Source organism: Homo sapiens, chromosome 11 (genome assembly GCF_000001405.40).
Source record: "Homo sapiens chromosome 11, GRCh38.p14 Primary Assembly".
Lineage (NCBI taxonomy): Eukaryota > Metazoa > Chordata > Mammalia > Primates > Hominidae > Homo > Homo sapiens.
The window spans coordinates 59,904,707-59,924,781 of record NC_000011.10 but is presented as its reverse complement, the minus strand read 5'-3'; the positions used below and the strand labels follow the sequence as shown (position 1 = coordinate 59,924,781).

At 40.4% G+C, this 20,075-nt stretch overlaps 1 annotated feature.

Moving 5' to 3' along the window:
- Positions 3,153-3,313: a silencer, noted in NCBI's record as "fragment chr11:59688942-59689102 (GRCh37/hg19 assembly coordinates)". NCBI's record gives its function as "represses an EF-1alpha promoter that drives an FKBP-Casp9 reporter gene in an ReSE screen in K562 erythroleukemia cells {active_cell/tissue: K562}" and the evidence as "EXISTENCE:reporter gene assay evidence [ECO:0000049][PMID:32094911]".

Here is a 20,075-nt window from a genome sequence, read left to right as displayed (position 1 = left end):
CACCAAGCTTTAAATTGTAAGAACTGAGCAGGAGTTAGACAAGCTTGAGTAAGAGCATCCCAGTCAGTAGGAATCATCCGACTGGAAACAGTAACATTCTTTAACAGTCCCATTACAAAAGGAGAACCTGGTCCATACTCATTTATAGCTTGTTTTAATTCTTTGAGTAATTTAAAAGAAAAAGGCTCAAATGCAGCTGTAATATTTCCCTCTTAATCTGGGGGGGTGTATTCTAACAGGGAACTGTGAAGCCTCTAAGTCACCCTCTTGTCTAGCTTGCTGAATTCCTGCCTGAATAGAACTAAGAGCTGTTGCTCGAGGCACTGCTGAAACAGTCACTGGGGCAACTACTTTTTGCCCAGTGTCCTCCAGAAAAGAAAGATCTCAGGGGTCATTTTCTTCAAAATAATAATGAGGGGGTGCAGAAGGGTAGGGATGAACCTCTCCTTCCTTTGCCACTTTAGCTTTAGCTGGCAAATAAACATGCTCTGTAACCTCTTCTGTTACTTTGCTATACTCTTGTTCTTTCTCCTCATCACTGTGAAAAAGTTCCAAGGTGGAACAAACCAGACCCCAAACCTGTCCCATTGTTACCCTGATACTTCTGAGCTCCCCTTCTTACTCACCATGGGGATTGCTTTAAGAGTACTTGGGTGTCTTCCGTTCCAACCATCACTCCAGCGACCCTTCGACCTGGATTTGAGCCCCATGTTAGGCGCCACTTGCTGAGACCAGCTTAGTCAGGGAGACCCTAACCCAGTGGCGCTAGAGGAATTAAAGACACTCACAAAGAAATATAGATGTGTGAAGTGGGAAATCAGGGGTCTCACAGCCTTCATAGCTGAGAGCCCTAAACAGAGATTTACCCACATATTTATTAACAGCAAACCAGTCATTAGCATTGTTTCTATAGCTTTAAGTTAACTAAAAGTATCCCGTATGGGAAATGAAGGGATGGGCTGAATTAATTGCAGCAGGAACATGCCCTTAAGACACAGATTGCTCATGCTTTTGTTTGTGGCTTAAAAATGCCTTTAAGCAGTTTTCCACCCTGGGCAAGCCAGGTGTTCCTTGCCCTCATTCCCATAAACCCACAACCTTCCAGCTTGTGCATTAGGGTCATTATGGACATGTTACAGTGCTGCAGAAATTTTACTTATGGCCAGTTTTGAGGCCAGTTTATGGCCAGATTTTGGGGGCTTACTCCCAATAGCCAGGTACCTTTTCACAATCCCTTTTTAGTAGGCACTCTCTTCATTTTTAACTTTATATAAGACAATGTTTATGAATAAAGTTTATTTTATCTCATTAGATGTCTATCATTACAGTCTATAATTTAGTAAAAGTTGGATTAAGTGTTAAAGGCTGAGCTCTGGGGCCTTCTAATGTTAGGGGTCAGGGAGATGAACAGGAACCAGCAAACACTAAGAAGAAGTCGGTGAGGTTATACTGGAGGAAATGAAGAAAGTGTGGCAGCCTGGAAGTCAAGATAGAATACTAGTAGTGAAAATAGACAAGTGCTACTGATAGATAAAGCAAGATGAGGATTGCAAAGCAATCCCTGGACTTAGCAAATGTGGAGAGTAATTGCTGAAGCAATGTGAAGAGCAATTGCTGATTTTAATAAAAAGCAGTTTGGGTGCAGGGTGGGAGTGAAAGTCCAATTGAAATGAGTTTAAGAGAGAAGGGGAAGAAAGGAATTGGAAAGAGCATTGGCAACATTCAGAGTAGTGTAGCTATAACAGGAGGAAAGAAAGAGAGTGAGCCCAAGTAAAAGCTCACTCTCTCTCTCTACCCACTCTCCCTCCTCTTCCTCTGCCTCTCCAAACAAATCTGCCTGGTGGAAACTTTTAGGTTGGGATGTTGGTATGAAATAGAAATTTGCATGCTCATAAAAAGCATTTATCAGTTTAGTTACTGTCCCTGATTCTAATCGAGTGATACTTTGGTTACCCATTTTCTCAGTTCCCAGTGCTGAAGCAAGAATTAAACCTTTCTGGAGCCATAGCTCTAACACTCACAAGTTCCCACCTGAAACCTGCAGTCCTTCTTAAATGCTCTGTGCCAAGGGTAGTATTTCTGCTAGAGATGATACCCCAAACTCAAGGACACAGTATGCAGCTGCTGCCTGGATCTGGTCAATCAGAAACTGCATTTACTTGGAACAGACAACACTATACATGTATAGTGTTATCTCAAAGATATATTAACACTCCTACCCCCTCCCATAATATATTCCAAAGATTCCTGGGCCATGTGAACATATCAAGGAATATCACAGTGGCACACTATACTGACAATATTGTACTAACTGAGCTGGATAAGCAAGAAGTAGCTGGTACATTGGGAGAATTGGTAAGACACCTGAGTTCCAAAGAGAGGAGATAAACCCTATAAAATTTCAGAGGCCCAAACAGATTGAAATTTTTGTGTCCGGTGGTCTGGGACATGCTGGGACATTTCCTGTAAAGGACAAATAATTGTGTCTTGCATCTCCCACCATGAAGATGAAAGCATAACCCTTGTTAATATCCACCAAGGAGCATCCACCATGGAAGAATTTCTATACAAATAGGTGGACAAAATGACTTGGCCAGTTGACATTGGCCAGTTTCTGTCATTAGCCATGCCATTGTTAGCACAAGAGAACCCAAACAGAATAGCTGTGGTGGCAAGGATGGAGGCTATATCTGGCTTAATAGCATGGGTTCTGACTTAACAAAACTAATCGAGTTACCGCTGTTACCAAATGTCCAACCTGACAATAACCCTAAGTCCCTGAGATCACATATCACTGGAAGAGACCAATCAGCAACTTGGTGACAATTTGACCACATCATATGCCTACCAGGTATAGGTTTGTCTGCAGGGCCTTAGTCAACACTACTATCCAAGGGCTTAGAGTATTTAATTCACCACCAGCATGATACCAGATAACATCATGCCAGACCAATGGACTCATTTATAACAAGAAGTGCAGGGCAGGACACATGATCAAGAGTTCCACAGGTCATATCATAAACCAGACCATCCAGAAGCTGCCCACCTGATGGAGAAATGCAATGCCTATACAAGGTGCAACTAAAGTGCCAGTGCAAAGACAATTTTCCTGCTGCAAACAAGAAATATAAAAAGATTCCCAAGCTTTTTTTAAAAAGACACTGATATGGCTTGGATTTGTGGCCCTCCCAAACTCATGTCAAATTGTAATCCCCAGTGCTGGAGGAGGGGCCTGGTGGGGAGGTGATTCAATCATGGTAATGTATTTCCCCCTTGCTGCTTTCATGATAGTGAGTGAGTTCTCACAAGATCTGGTTGTTTAAAGGTGTGTAGCACCTCCCCCTTCACTCTTTCTTTCTCCTGCTCCCACCATGTAAGACATGCTTGCTTCCCCTTCGCCTTCTGCCATGATTGTAAGTTTCCTGATGCCTCCCAGCCATATTTCCTGTACTGCCTGCAGAACTTCTTTTCTTTATAAGTAACCAGTTTCAGATATGTATTTATAGTAGTGTGAGAACAGACTAATATAGACACATTACAATTGGAGAGTAATAAGAATGAAGGCTGATGTATCAGAAGGAAATAGGGAGAACAGTAGACAAAAATTCATGTTCAAAATGCTGACTTAAAAAATAACAATCTAGGCTTCAATATCCAGTGAAAATTACAATTTCTAGTGAATATAAACCGAATAAAAAAGAATAATCATATGACCACCTCAGTAGATGCCTTTTCCCAAAGGCATCATAAGATACCCAGTCATTTTTGGAGAAGGTGTTCCTAGCTATCAATGTCCTGTTTCCATACATTTTCTCCAAGAAAGCACAGCCTTGTTAAGAAACTGCAGTTTCCCAGATCACATATTTCTATGGAACTAAATTTTAAGTATGTGATATTTGTTACTGACATTTTACTATCTTAAAGGCATTTCTGTGCAAGAAAATTTTAATTTTATTTTGTTCTAATAAGTATTATATTGATGAAACATATGTAAAACTTTTTAAAGTATCTCAACCTATAAATCCTATTTTTTCAAGTATTAAAATCATTACTTTTTTTACTTTTTCTTTGATTAATGTACAATTAATCCAAGTTTACAAATGATGTCTTCCCTACTCATCTGATGCAATTTAATGTCAATATCCTCAGATATTTTAAGTATAGTTACATATTTAATATATCTGATTCTCTCAAATGTTTCAAATTTCTAACAAAGCAGACTTACTAATTAGAATAAACTCTCCCAATGACTTAAATCACACTCATAAATACAAACTGAAACTTAGATATTTAGTAGCTCAAATCCCCTTAAGCATCTTAAGTCACAGCACCCATAAAGCAGCATAGTGACTGGAAAATGTTTCACCACATCCCTATAAACACAACATGCACACTTTATACCTATTTTTTTCCACATGTTCCTGGGGTTACAAGTTTACTCAACCAAACAAGGAAAGCAAAATCATCACCTAAGTTCCAGCCAAGGTTACATTGTCAGAAACCAGGACTGGCAGTCAAAGAAGGAAGAATGCAGCAGAGGGCACCGGGGGAAGGAAGAAAGTCCATGAGAGGCACAAAAGAGAGAGATGCAATTCCTTTATTGCATGTAGAGATTATTAAACAAAGCTCTTGAAAAGAGATGCACTGCAGGAATGTAGGCATCACTTTAATTGTAAAACTGATTTTATGGTCACAAAAGCACCTACATGGAAATGAAAAAAAAATACCTTTTCAACACCCTCACCATCTAAAAGGTAAAGTACAGTATCTACAACCACTGCATGAGCATTCAGACAGCACGTAGGCCTGAGATTCCATCAGTAGTAAAATCAGCATCTCTGATGCCCAAATTCACTCTTGTTCCATTATGACTGGGGGCATATAAAATGCCATTAATACGGAACTAAAAATTAAAATTACAAATAAGCATTATATGGGTTTTAGGCTAGTTGAGATGCTAGTGACCTGGAACTGACCCAGAGACCAAAATGTAATTATAGGGCTGGATTTAGCAGCAGCAGCCTTTTCCATTTATTAACCCCTAATACTCATATGGAGCTGTCATGCCATCCCCCATCTCCAACACCCACGTGCTAATTTAGGATAATGGATTGTGGCAGAGACCTTGTTCTCTGCTAAACTGCTGTGGTTAATGGAGAGTCCAGGCCTCTAAAATAGCTTTGCCATCATACCATATCATTATAATTTCTTATTAGATAGAAACAGTTCGTTTAAACAGGACAGTCTTAGGCTTTGCCTAAAAGTTTAGTTACTAGAACACAAGAAAGTTAATGTAGGTCTTTCTCAATCCAGCTTTTCCTAGTGGCTGTTAGCCAGAAAAATATAGGCTGCACAAACATTTTAACTCTTTCTCTCTCTTTCCTTTATCTATCTGATGTGCCGACTCAGTCTTGCCTAAAGATAATAACTGCTTATCTTAGATCTGACTCATGGATGGGTCAGAATAAACTTCTAGTTTTAAGAGATACTCACAGAGAGCTGAATGGTGGCATTGCCAATTTTTTTACCTTGTTATTGTTCTTCTAATATTTAAACATGATGTCATGAGCTGCCTTCCCTGCAGATGGCACTGTTTAATGGGTTTAGAGGAAGGAAGCCACAGGGCCCTTTGGAAGGAAAAAAAAAGTCTGGGGTGAATTTTTATTCACTCATCTAACAAATATTTGAGCATCTCCTCCCATTTTTCATTGAATCTAAGCTTTAACTATACCACTATTTTTCATACGAAGATTAAGGAAACTTTATATCTTTAGGATTAAAGAAACTACCAATGAATCAGGCACATTTTACTACTTAGTCTTTGAATTTTATAAAAATTGAAAGAGCTCTTATGGACATCTTTAATCATATCACTCTTGTGCTGTATACAAAAGCAAGTGTAACAAAAAGCAAGTATAAACAAAATTAATTGGTTGAAGTAACCCTAAAATATTTTTACAGTGAGTCTCACTCTTCTAAATCACTTCTTGGATCGCAGTCATCAATGTTCCTGTTTCCCCACAAATATATCTCTCTTTGAGCCATCACCACCATTGGTGATGCAATATCTCTTAAAAGAATGCTTCATTCTTCTCTCCAGATTGTATGCCAATTGGTGGTACTTATTTCTCAAATTTTTATGCCAGCACTCTCTGACCTTACCAAGAGGCGCCAACAGAAAGTTTCAGACCAAGTTCTCCATGTGCAAATGATGACAGCTACAGCATTCCTGTCCACTGACCAATCATTATATATAGCTGATTATAAACTTTCTAGAATTCTGATTTTTTTACTGTGTAAAAAACTGTCCATGTCAGAGTAAATGAAATATATCATGTGCCAGTTCTCTTCTATGCACTGGAAACCTCATGTAGGTGACATTATAAGGAAAGAATACAGAAAATAAAAAATAAGCAAATTATATATCACATTAGATGGTGATAAATACTGTGAAAGAATAAGGCAGGTAAAAAGTTTAATGTAGGACAGAGGATAGGATTTTAAGTAATTTTTTGAGTCAGGGAAGGCCTCATTTAAGCAGAGTTCTTTAGTTGTCAAAGGAACTGATCATAGAGGAAAAGGTGTGACATGGGTTGGCTGTGTCCCCACCCAAATCTTATCTTGTACTGTAATTCCCACATGTTGTGGGAGGAACCTGGTGAGAGGTAAGTGAATCATGGGGGCAGGTCTTTCCTGTGCTGTTCTTGTGATAGTGAATAAGTCTCACGCGATTTGATGGTTTTAAAAATGGGAGTTTCCCCACACAAGATCTCTTCTCTTGCCTGCCACCATGTGAGACCTGCCTTTCACCTTCCACAATGATTGTGAGGCCTCCCCAGCCATGTGGAACTGTAAGTCTATTAAACCTCTTTCTTTTGTACATTGCCCAGTCTTGGGGCATGTCTTTATCAGCAGCATGAAATGGGCTTATACAGTTAATTGGTACCAGTAGAGTGGGGCACTGCTGAAAAGATACCTGAAAATGTGGAAGCAACTTTGGAACTGGGCAACAGGCAGAGGTTGGAACAGTTTGGAGGGCTCAGAAGACAGGAAAATGTGGGAACGTTTGGAACTCCCTAGAGTCTTGCTGAATGGCTTTGACCAAAATACTGATAATGATATGGACAAGGAATTCCAGGCTGAGGTGATCTCAGATGGAGATGAGGAACTTGTTGAGAACTGGAGCAAAGGTGACTCTGGAGCAAAGGTGACTCTTAACATTTTAGCAAAGAGACTGGCAGCATTTTGCCCCTGCTCTAGAGATTCGTGGAACTTTGAACTTGAAAGAGATGATTTAGGGTATCTGGCAGAAGAAATTTCTAGCAGCAAAACATTCAAGAGATGACTTGCATACTGTTAAAGGCATTCAGTTTTATAACAGAAGCACAGCATAAAAGTTTGGAAAATTTGCAGCCTTACAATGTGATAGAAAAGAAAATCCCATTTTCTGAGGAGAAATTCAAGCCGGCTGCAGAAATATGTATAATTAATGAGGAGCCAAGTGTTAATCCCCAAGACAATGTGGAAAATGTCTCTAGGGCATATCAGAGGTTTTCACCACAGCCCCTGCCATAACAGGCCCAGTGGCCTAGGAGGAAAAAGTGGTTTTGTGGGCTGGGGGCCCAGGGTTCCCATGCTCTGTGCAGTTTAGGGACTTGGTGCCCTGCATCCCAGCCACTCCAGCCATGGCTGAATGCAGAGTTTTGGCATGGCTTCAGAGGATGCAAGCCCCAAGCCTTGGCAGCTTCCATGTGGTGTTGAGCCTGTGAGTGCACAGAAGTCAAGGACTGGGATTTGGAAACTTCCACCTACATTTCAGAAGATGTGTGGAAACATCTAGTTACCCAGGCAAAAGTTTGCTGCAGAAGCAGGGTCTTCATAGAGAACATCTGCTAGGGCAGTGCAGAAGGGAAATGTGGGGTCAGAGCCCCCACACAGAGTCCCTACTGGGGCAACACCTAGTGGAGCTGTGAGAAGAAGGCCACCATCCTACAGATCCCAGAATGTTAGATCCACCAACAGCTTGCACTGTGTACCTGGAAAAGCCACAGATACTCAACGCCAGCCCATGAAAGCAGCCAGGAGGGAGGCTGTACCCTGCAAAGCCACAGAGGCAGAGCTGCCCAATACTGTGGGAGCCCACCTCTTGCATCAATGTGACCTGGATTTGAGACATAGAGTCAAAGGAGATCATTTTGGAGCTTTAAGATTTGACTGCCCTGTTGGATTTGGGACTTGCGTGGGGCCTATATCTCCTTTGTCTTGGCCAATTTCTCCCATTTGGAATGACTGTATTTACCCAATGCCTGTACCCCCATTGTATCTAGGAAGTAACTAACTTGCTTTAGATTTTACAGGATCATAGGCAGAAGGGGCTTGCCTTGTCTCAAATGAGACTTTGGACTGTGGACTTTTGAGTTAATACTGAAATGAGATAAGACTTTGGAGGACTGTAGGGAAGGCATGATTGGTTTTGAAATGTGAGGACATGAGATTTGGGAGGGCCCAGGGGTGGAATGATATGGTTTGGCTGTGTCCCCACCCAAATCTCATCTTGAATTGTAACTCCCAGAATTTCCAAGTGTCATGGAAGGAACCTGGTGGGAGGTAAGTGAATCATGGGAGAGGGTCTTTCTCATGCTGTTCTCATTATAGTAAATAAGACTCATGAGATCTGATGGTTTTAGAAACGGGAGTTTCCTGCACAAACTCTTGTCTGCTGCCATGTTAGATGTGCCTTGGCCGAGCGCGGTGGCTCAAGCCTGTAATCCCAGCACTTTGGGAAGCCGAGGCGGGTGGATCACAAGGTCAGGAGATCGAGACCATCCTGGCTAACACGGTGAAACCCCATCTCTACTAAAAAATACAAAAAAACTTAGCCGGGTGTGGTGGCGGGCGCCTGTAGTCCCAGCTACTCAGGAGGCTGAAGCAGGAGAATGGCGTGAACCCGGGAGGCGGAGCTTGCAGTGAGCCGAGATCGCGCCACTGCACTCCAGCCTGGGGGACAGAGCGAGACTCCATCTCAAAAAAAAAAAAAAAAAACGATGTGCCTTTCACATTCTGACATGATTGTGAGGCCTCCCCACACACGTGGAACTGTAAGTCTATTAAACCTCTTTCTTTTGTAAATTGCCCAGTCTCAGGTATGTATTTATCAGCAGCATGAAAACAGACTAATACAGAGGGCCAAGGAGAATTCCAGGCAGAAGGAACATCAGATGCAAAGGTTCTAAGGCAGGAGCATGCATTCAATGAATGGCAAGGACATCAGGTAATTAAAGTTGAGTTAGGAGGATGGAGCAGCAAGGTAGATAAGGGATGGCACTTTCTAGCCCTCTTCCCTGGGAGACAATACAGAGTGCTAGGGCTTTGTGGGCCATAATAAAGACCATATGACTTTTACTGTGACCTGGATAGATATAGAATGAGGGGTCTTCTGCAGAGGATGCCATGATCTAACTTGGTATTATAGATTGAATTGTGTCTCCCAAAAAGATATATTGAAGTCCTAACCCCTAGTACTTTAGAATATGACCTTGTTTGGAAATAGGGTCATTGCCTATGTGATTAGTTAAGATGAGGTCATGCAGGAGTAGGGTGGGCACTTAATCCAATGTAACTGATGCCCTTATAAGAAGAAGGAGCACAGCCTCATGAAGACGCAGACACACAAAGGAAAGCACTATGTGATAAGTGGCAGAGATTGCAGTGATATGGCTGCAGGGTAAGGAAGCCAAGGATTGGAGGAACAATTGGAAATTAGGAAGAAGGAAGAAAGGACTCTGCTAAGATTCTCAGGGGAATCATGGCCCTGCTGACACCTTTATTTTGGACTTCTAGCCTTCAGAACTGTGAAAGAATAAGCCCCCCAGTTTTTTTAAGCACCCTGTGTTGTTTTAAGCCCCCCAATTTGTGGTGCTTTGTTACAGCAGATTTGGAAAATAAATACACTGGGTATTAACAGAATGGCTCTGGCTGCTGTCTTGAGAATATTTAATAGATTCTCAAGGACCAAGGAAAAAATACCAGTTAGGCAACAGCTGCAATTATCTGAGAAATACAGCAGCCTGTCACAAGTTAGTAGTGGTAGAAGCCACAGAACTTTCTGCCAGACTGAATATGGTGTAGAGATGAAAACAGCTGCCGTGTACTGAGATACAGGAGGGGAGCCAGGAGGGGATCCAGGAGGGGAGCAGGCTGGGGCTGGGGACAAAATTATAAATTCAGTCAGTTCTGAACTTTTTTTTTTGAGACAGAGTCTTGCTCTGACGCCAGGCTAAAGTGCAGTGGCGTGATCTCGGTTCACTGCAACCTCCGCCTCCTGGGTTCAAGCGATTCTGCTGCCTCAGCCTCCTGAGTAGCTGGGACTACAGGTGTGTGCCACCACATCCAGTTAATTTTTGCATTTTTAGTAGAGACAGGGTTTCACCATGTTGGCCAGGATTGTCTCGATCTTTTGACCTTGAGTGATCTGCCCGCCGTGGCCTCCCAAAGGCTGGGATTACAGGCGTGAGCCACCACGCCTGGCCTCAGCTCTCAAATTCTTAAGATGCCTGCTACTTCTCAGTGGAGATGCCAATTAGGCAATTCTTTTAGAGTTTATCCTGTTATTTCTCCTGGTTCTACAACCTGAGTTTGTTTGTTTGTTTTCTCCTTTTTATGGCCTGTAAGTATTCTCTGCCACCACTCAAACTAGATGCTCCACTGACCACACTTTGAGGAACACTAGCAATAGGATCACAAAATCACAATTAGTGGGCCAGACACTAGGCAAATGTGTCATTGTTATTGACAAGGTGCACCATTGTCAAAAGCTAAAGGTGCCTGGCAAGGTGGCTCATGCTTGTAATCCCAGCATTTTAGGAGGCCGAGGTGGATGGATCACCTGAGGCAGGAGTTCAAGACCAGCCTGGCCAACATGGTGAAACCCAGTCTCTAATAAAAGTACAAAAAAATTAGCCAGGTGTGGTGACAGGCACCTGTAATCCCAGCCACTCAGGAGGCTGAGATGGAAGAATCACTTGAACCCAGGAGGCGGAGGTTGCAGTGAGCCCAGATCGCACCACTGCACTCTAGCCTGGGCACGACAGAGCAAGACTCTACCACAGAAAAAGAAAAAAAAAAGTAGGTTAAAGGAGAATGGCCTGTCTTTACGCCACTGCCACCTCCAGCCCTCTCTGCACTGCCTACTAAGCAAGTCTCATCTCATGGCAGCTCCCCTTTCTCTCCATGATCCCACCATACTCTTTATCTTGCACCACCTCACATACATCCCCACCTCAGGGCTCTTGTACCTTCTGTTCCCACTGCCTGGCACTTGCCTCCCATCCACTCCCCTGCACATCAACCAACTCAACTCTCGCTTTTGCTGAAGATCTTAACTCATCATTTCCCAAGGAGAATGGTCCTTCCAGAGTGGGTCAAGCCTCCTGTTGAAGTGTCCACATTTCCCTGTACTCTGATCCTTAGCAGTTTACATATGGATGATTCAATTAATGTCTGTCTCCCCTACTAGACTGCAAACTCCCCTAAGACAGGAGCCACACCTTTTTGAATTCCAAGCACTGAGCATGGTACCTGACATGTCACGAGTACTCAAGTATTTTCTGAATGAGTCTGAGAGTGCAAAAAGGAAGTAATTAATGAATCCTCCAATTAGTCCATGGCAGTCTCCTAAAAAAATAATTTTCCAGGTTCAAAGGAAGGGTTGAAAACATGCTGATGGCACCTGAGTTCTCTCTTTAGCCAGAGTTTCTTTAGCTACCTGAGAGAGATCACTCACACCTCACCAAATCACAAAATATTGTGACGGCCTTAGAGGAACAGTCAGACATTTGGTGTCAAAGGGAGGAAGATTTAAAGTAGAAGTTTGATCAGAGCACTAAAATGGAAAACCAAGGAAAGGAGATGGGCTAAGAACATAGTTCAAAAGAATTCAGGAAGGTGTTAAAAAGGAGGATGAGGCATAAACCAAATAGAGTGATGAACTTGAAAAAAACACCGTTTTCCAAAGACATTAACCAGTTAACTGGTCAGACTGAGACCCTCTGGTCTTGGATATTAGCAACAAATGATCCTGTCAATAACACCAGACTAGAAACCCCATCCCTTGGCAGTCATGCAATCAAACCACCATAAACCCAAGTTTCTCATCTACCTGACAATAGCCCAGAAGTAGTAAAAACCAAGGAAAGAAAAAGAATCCACCCTTTTAACCACATAGAGGTCTTCATCTTGCTAAGGCTCGCAGCAAAGACTGTTCAGGAAACAGAAGGAGGTTAAGGTTTGGGATGCCTCACATGATTTTATGCCTGTCACATTGTTCAAGTATAAGAAATTACCTCCTACAGCAAGCACACACCAAAAGAAAACTTTTACAGCACTATCACTTAGCCTCTAGAAAAATAACATTTTATGACAACTTTGGTACTAAAAAGTAAATGTGCATCCCATACAATTAAATAGCTGCTTTCAGTGCCCATGAATCTCAAGCCTTCTTGGGGACTTTGGAAATACCTGAGAGGATGTCATGCACAGGTCAACTGACTCACAGGGCCCTTTGTGGGATCAGTTTAGGGATGCAATAGAGTTTTGTCTTCATTGATGGAGTTCTTTGATAATGCACTTGAAGTCATTATTTCAAATTTAAGGTGAGCCCTCCAGAAAGGTCAGTATGCCAACTCATAGAAATAGAATAGTGGTTACCAGACTTGTGGGGAGGGACACAGGGAAAGGGGAGATATATTAGTCAAGGGGTACAAAATTCAGCTAGGAAGAGTAAGTTCAGGTGTTCCATTTGCACAGCATAGTGACTGTAGTTAATAATAACGTATTCTATATTTCAAAGTTACTAAAATATCAGATTTTAAATGTTCTCACCATTTCTTATCAAAGAAATGATAAGTATGTGATAGATATGTTTATTAGCCTGATTATATCATTCCATAATGTATACAGGTATCAAAACATCACATTGTACCCCACAAATATATATATTTACCAATTAAAAGTAAAATTAAAAAAGACAAAACTGCATGATTTTATTTATATATAGAATCTTAAAAAGTCAAACTCATAGAAGCAAAGTGTAGAGTAATGGTTTCCATGGGGCAACGGTGGGAGGAAAGGGACTGGGGAGATGTTGGTCAAAGGATACAAAATTTCAGTTTGACAAGAGGAATAAGTTCAGGAGATCTATTGTACAACATGGTGACTATAACAATGTCACAATGTACTGCGTACTTGAAAATTGTATACAATTATATAATTATTAATAACAAGGTATTGTATACTTGAAAATTGCTGAGCATTTTACTATATTTTCTTTTTTGACAACTAAATATTGTACATGTTTATCATATACAACATGATGTTTTAAAACATATATGTAGTCTGTGACCACACCACCCCAAACGTGCCTAAAATATGTATTAGTTTGGTGCAAAAGTAATTGCAGTGTTTTGCCATTACTTTCAATGGCAAAGAAAAAAAAACGCAATTACTTATGCATCAACCTAAAATATGGAATGACTACACTGAGCTAATTAACATACCTCATACACATTTCCTTATACACTTATGCTTTGCAGCAAAACACATTTAAAATCTACTCTCAGTGATTTTCAAAATACAATACATTGTTATTAACTGTAGTCACCATGTTGTACAATATATCTCTTGAAATTATTCCTCCTATCTACTTGAAATTTTAGAAAGAAGATTTTAAATTTTATGACTACAATAAAGGTTAGTATGTGGAACTAAGAATATGTTAATTAACTCAATTTAGCCATTCTACAATGTATACATATATCAAAACATCACTTTGTATACCACAAATATATACAATTTTTGTCCATTAAAAATAAATAGGAGGCAGGACTAGATTGCAGCTCTGGACAGAGCAGCGTGCGGAGGCTCACATTGTGAATTTAAGCTCCAGATCAACAGCAAGAACAAACCGGCAATCTTGAGAGGACCCACAGACCCTCTGAAAGAAGCAACTGCTCCTGCAGGACCCAGGAGACACTCCAAATACTGCACTGGTATCCACAGCTGAGAGCCCATAGATGGTTCACCTCACAGGACTCTGTGCAGACAACCCCCAGTACCAGCCCGGATCTGGGTAGATTTGCTGGGTGGCTAGACCCAGGAGAGACAAGAATCAATCACAGCAGTTCAGCTCACAGGAAGCCACATTCATAGGAAAAAGGGGAGAGTACTACATCAAGGGAACACCCGGTGGGGCAACAGAATCTGAACAACAGCCTTCAGCCCTAGACCTTCCCTCTGGCACAACCTACCCAAATGAGAAGGAACCACAACCCTGGTAATATGACAAAATAAGGCTCTTTAACACCCCCCAAAAATCGTACCATTTTACTAGCAATGGATTCAAACCAAGAAGAAATCCCTGATTCACTTGAAAAAGAATTCAGAAGGTTAGTTATTAAGCTAATCAGGGAGGCACCAGAGAAGGGTGAAGCCCAGTGCAAGGAAACCAAAAAAAAAAATACAAAAGTGAAGGGAGAAATATTCAAGTAAATAGATAGCTTAAAGAAAACACAATCAAATATTCAGGAAAGTTTGGACACACTTTTAGAAATGCAAAATGCTCTGGAAAGTCTCAGCAATAGAATTGAACAAGTAGAAGAAAGCAATTCAGAGCTCAAAGACAATGTCTTCAAATTAATCCAATCCAACAGAGACAAAGAAAAAAGAATAAGAAAATATCAACAAAGCCTCCAAGAAGTCTAGGACTACGTTAAACGACCAAACCTAAGAATAATCAGTGTTCCTGAGGAAGAAAAGAATTCTAAAAGCTTAGAAAACAGATTTGGGGGAATAATTGAGGAAAACTTCCCCAGCCTTGCTAGAGACCTAGATATCCAAATACAAGAAGCACAAAGAACACCTGGGAAATTCATCTCAAAAAGATCATTGCCTGGCTGGACACATTGTCATCAGCTTATCCAAAGTTGAGATGAAGGAAAGAATTTTAAGAGCTGTGAGACAGAAGCACCAGGTAACCTATAAAGGAAAACCTACACGATTAAGAGCAGATTTGTGAGAGGAAACCCCACAAGCTAGAAGGGATTGAGGCCCTACCTTCAGCCTCCTCAAACAAAACAATCATCAGCCAAGAATTTTGTATCCACCGAAACTAAGCATCATATATGAAGGGAAGATATCGTTCTCAGACAAACAAACGCTGAGGGAATTTGCCACTACCAAGCCACCACTACAAGAATTGCTAAAAAGAGCTCTAAATCTTGAAACAAATCCTAGAAACACATCAAAACAGAACCTTTTTAAAGCATAAATCACACAGGACCTATAAAACAAAAATACAAGTTAAAAAACACAAACAAACAAAAACAACGTACACAGGCAACGAATAGCAAGATGAATGCAAGGGTACCTCACATTTCAATATTAACATAGAATGTAAATGGCCTAAGTACTCCACATGAAAGAAACAGAACTGCAGAATGGATAAGAATTCACCAATAAACTATCTGCTGCCTTCAGGAGACTCACCTAACACATAAGGACTTGCAAAAACTTAAAGTAAAGGGGTGGAAAAAGGCATTTCATGCAAATGGACACCAAAGGCAGAGCAGGAGTAGCTATTCTTATATCAGATAAAACAAAATTTAAAGCAACAGCTGTTAAAAGAGACAAACAGGGACATTATATAATGGTAAGAGGCCTTGTCCAACAGGAAAATACCACAATCCTAAACATATATGCACCTAACACTGGAGCTCCCAAATTATAAAACAATTGCTAAAAGACCTAAAAAATGACACAGACAGTAACACAATAATAGTGGGGGAACCTCAATACTCCACTGACAGCACTAGACAGATCATCAACATAGAAGGTGAACGAAGAAACGATGGATTTATACTATACCTTGGAACAAATAGACTTAACAGATATATACAGAACATTTCATTCAACAACTGCAGAATACACATTCTATCCAACAGTGCATGGACCTTTCTCCAAAATAGACCATGTGATAGTCCATAAAACAAGCTTCAATAAATTTAAAACGTTTGAAGTTATATCAAGCATTCTCTCAGACCAGAGTGGAATAAAACTGGAAATCAACTCCAAAAGGAATCTTCAAAACCATGCCAATACAAGGGAATTAAATAACTTGCTCCTGAATGAACATTGGGTCAAAAATGAAATCAAGATGGAAATTTAAAAATTCTTCGAACTGAATGACAATAATGACACAACCTACCAAAACCTCTGGGATACAGCAAAGGCGGTGCTAAGAGGGAAGTTCATAGCCCGAAAAACCTACATCAAAAAGACTGAAAGAACACAAACTGACATTCTAAGGTCACACCTCAAGGGACTAGAGAAACAAGAACAAACCAAACCCAAACCAGACTAATAACAGCAGAAGAAAGGAATTAACCAAGATCAGAGCAGAACTAAAAGTAATTGGAACAAAAAAAAGCAATACAGAAGAGAAATGAAACAAAAAGCTGCTTCTTTGAAAAGATAAATAAAACTGATAGACTATTAGCAAGATTAACCAAGAAAAGAAGAGAGAAAATCCAAATAACCTCACTAAGAAATTAAACAGGAGATATTATAACTGACACCACTGAAATACAAAAGATCATTCAAGGCTACTATGAACACCTTTACACATATAAACTAGAAAACCTAGAAGACATGAATAAATTCCTGGAAAACTACAACCCTTCTAGCTTAAATCAGGAAGAATTACATACCGGGAACCGACCAATAATAAGCAGCAAGATTGAAATGGTAATTTAAAAATTACCAACAAAAAATGTCCGGGACAAGATGGATTCACAGCAGAATTCTACCAGACATTCAAAGAAGAATTGGTACCAATCCTTTTGACACTACTCCACAATATGGAGAAAGAAGAAACCCACCCTAACTCATTCTATGAAGCCAGCAACACCCTAATCCCAAAACCAGGGAAGGACATAACAAAAATATAAAGCTACAGACTGATATCCTTGATGAACATAGGTGCTAAAATCCTTAACAAAATACTAGCTAACTGAATTCAACAACATATCAAAAAAAAATTCACAATGATCAAGTCAGTTTCATACCACGGTTGCAGGGATGGTTTAACATAAGCAAGTCAATAAATGTCATACACCACATAAACAGAATTAAAAACAAAAATCACATGATCATCTCAATAGATGCAGAAAAAGCATTTGACAAAATCCAGCATCGCTTTAGGATTAAAACTCTTAGCAAAATTGGCATACAAGGGACATATCTTAATGTAATAAAAGCCATCCATGACAAACCCACAGCCAACAATACTGAATGGAGAAAAGTTGAAAGCATTCCCTCTGAGAATTGGAACAAGACAAGAATGTCCACACTCACCACTCCTCTTCAACATAGTTCTGGAAGTCCTAGCCAGAGCAATCAGACAAGAGAAAGAAATAAAGGGCATCCAAATTGGTAAAGAGGAAGTCAAACTGTCACTGTTTGCTGACAACATGGTCGTTTGCCTTGAAAACCCTAAAGACTTCTCCAGAAAGCTTCTAGAACTGATAAAAGAATTCAGCAATGTTTCTGGATACAAGATTAATGTACACAAATCAGTAGCTCTTCTATACACCAACAGCGACCAAGTGGAGAATCAAATCAAGAACTCAACCCCTTTTACAATAGCTGCAAAAAAAATTAAAATACTTATGAATATACCTAACCAAGGTGCTGAAAGACCTTTACAAGGAAAACTATAAAACACTGCTGAAAGAAATCATAGACAACACAAACAAATGGAAACACATCCCCTGCTCATGGATGGGTAGAATCAATACTGTGAAAATGACCATACTGCCAAAAGCAATATACAAATTGAATGCAATTCCCATCAAAATACCACCTTCATTCTTCACAGAACTAGAAAAAACAATTCTAAAATTAATATGAAACCAAAAAAGAGCCTGCATAGCCAAGGCAAGACTAACCAAAAAGAACAAATCTGGAGACATCACATTACCTGATTTCAAACTATACTATTAGGCCATAGTCACCAAAACAGTGTGTTACTGGTATGAAAATAGGCGCATAGACCAATGGAACAGAATAGAGAACCCAGAAATAAACCCAAATACTTACAGCCAACTGATCTTCAACAAAGCAAACAAAAACATAAAGTGGTGAAAGGACAGCCTTTGCAACAAATGCCACATGTAGAAGAACGAAACTGCATCCTCATCTCTCACCTTATACAAAAATCAACTCAAGGTGGATTAAAGGCTTAAACCTAAGCCCTGAAACTAAAAATTCTAGAAGATAACATTTGAAAAATCCTTCTAGACATGAGCTTAGGCAAGGATTTCATGACCAAGAACCAAAAAGCAAATACAATAAAAACATAGATAAATAGCTGGGACCTAATTAAACTAAAGAGCTTTTGCACGGCAAAAGGAACAGTCAGCAGAGTAAACAGACAACCTACAGAGTGGGAGAAAATCTTCACAATCTATACATCTGACAAAGGATTAATATCCAGAATCTACAACGAACTCAAACAAATCAGTAAGAAAAACAAACAAAGAATCCCATCAAAAAGTGGGCTAAGGACATAAATAGACAATTCTCAAAAGAAGATATACAAATGGCCAACAAACGTGTGAAAAAATGTTCAACATCACTAATGATCACGGAAATGCAAATCAAAACCACAGTGCAATACCACCCTACTCCTGCAAGAACGGCCATAATCAAAAAGTCAAAAACAGATGTTGGCATGGTGATCAGGGAACACTTCTACACTGCTAGGGGGAATATAAACTTGTACAGCCATTATAGAAAACGGTCTGGAGAGTCCTTAAAGAACTAAAAGTAGAACTACTCTTTGATCCAGCAATCCCACTACTGGGTATCTACCCAAGGGAAAAGAAGTAATTATTTAAAAAAGATTCTTACACACGCATGTTTATAGCAGCACAATCACAATTGCAAAATCATAGAACCAACCCAAACGTCTGTAAATCAACAAGTGGATAAAGATATGATGGAATGCTACTTTGCCATAAAAAGGAATGAGTTAACAGTATTTGCAGAGACCTGGATGAGACTGGAGACTATTATTCTAAGTACCTCAGGAATGGAAAACCAAACATCATTACGTTCTTGCTAATACGTGGGAGCTAAGCTATGAGGACAAAAAGGCATAAGAATGATACAATGGGCCGGGCACCGTGGCTCATGCCTGTCATCCCAGCACTTTGGGAGGCCAAGGCGGGCAGATCACGAGGTCAGGAGATGGAGACCATCCTGGCTAACACAGTGAAACACCGTCTCTACTAAACATAACAAAAAAATTAGCCAAGAGTGGTGGTGGGCGCCTGCGGTCCCAGCTACTTGGGAGGCTGAAGCAGGAGAATGGCATGAACCAGAGAGGTGGAGCTGGCAGTGAGCCGAGACCGCACCACTGCACCCTAGCCTGGGTTACAGAGCAAGACTCCATCTCAAAAAAAAAAAAAAAAAAAAAAAAGAATGATACAATGGACTTTGGGGACTTGGGGCGAAGAGTGGGGAGGGAGGCAAGGGATAAAAGACTACAAATATGGTGCAGTACATACTGCTCAGGTGATGGGTACACCAAAATTTCACAAATCCCTACTAATACCCGCTGTACCCCAATAACTTATGGATAAATAAATAAGCCAGGTAAGGTGGCACACACCTGTAGTCTCAGCTACTTGGGAAGCTGAGGTGGGAGGATCACTTGAGCCCACAAGTTCAAAGCTGCAGTGAGCTATGATGGCCCCACTGTACTCCAGCCTGGGCAACAGAATGAGACCCTGTCTCTTGAAAAACAAAATTAAAAATATATAAAAGTAAATAAATAAGAAATTCTGTAGTCTCACCTGCCCTCAGAGGTAATCACTATTATCAGCTTGATATATGGCCTTTTATAGACATAGCTGTCTTCATAAAAACATGATGCCATACTATTCTGCCATCTGCAATTACTACTTTGTTGACATCACTCTGAACCAGTAGCTAAGTATCCACCACTTTTTAAAAGTCGT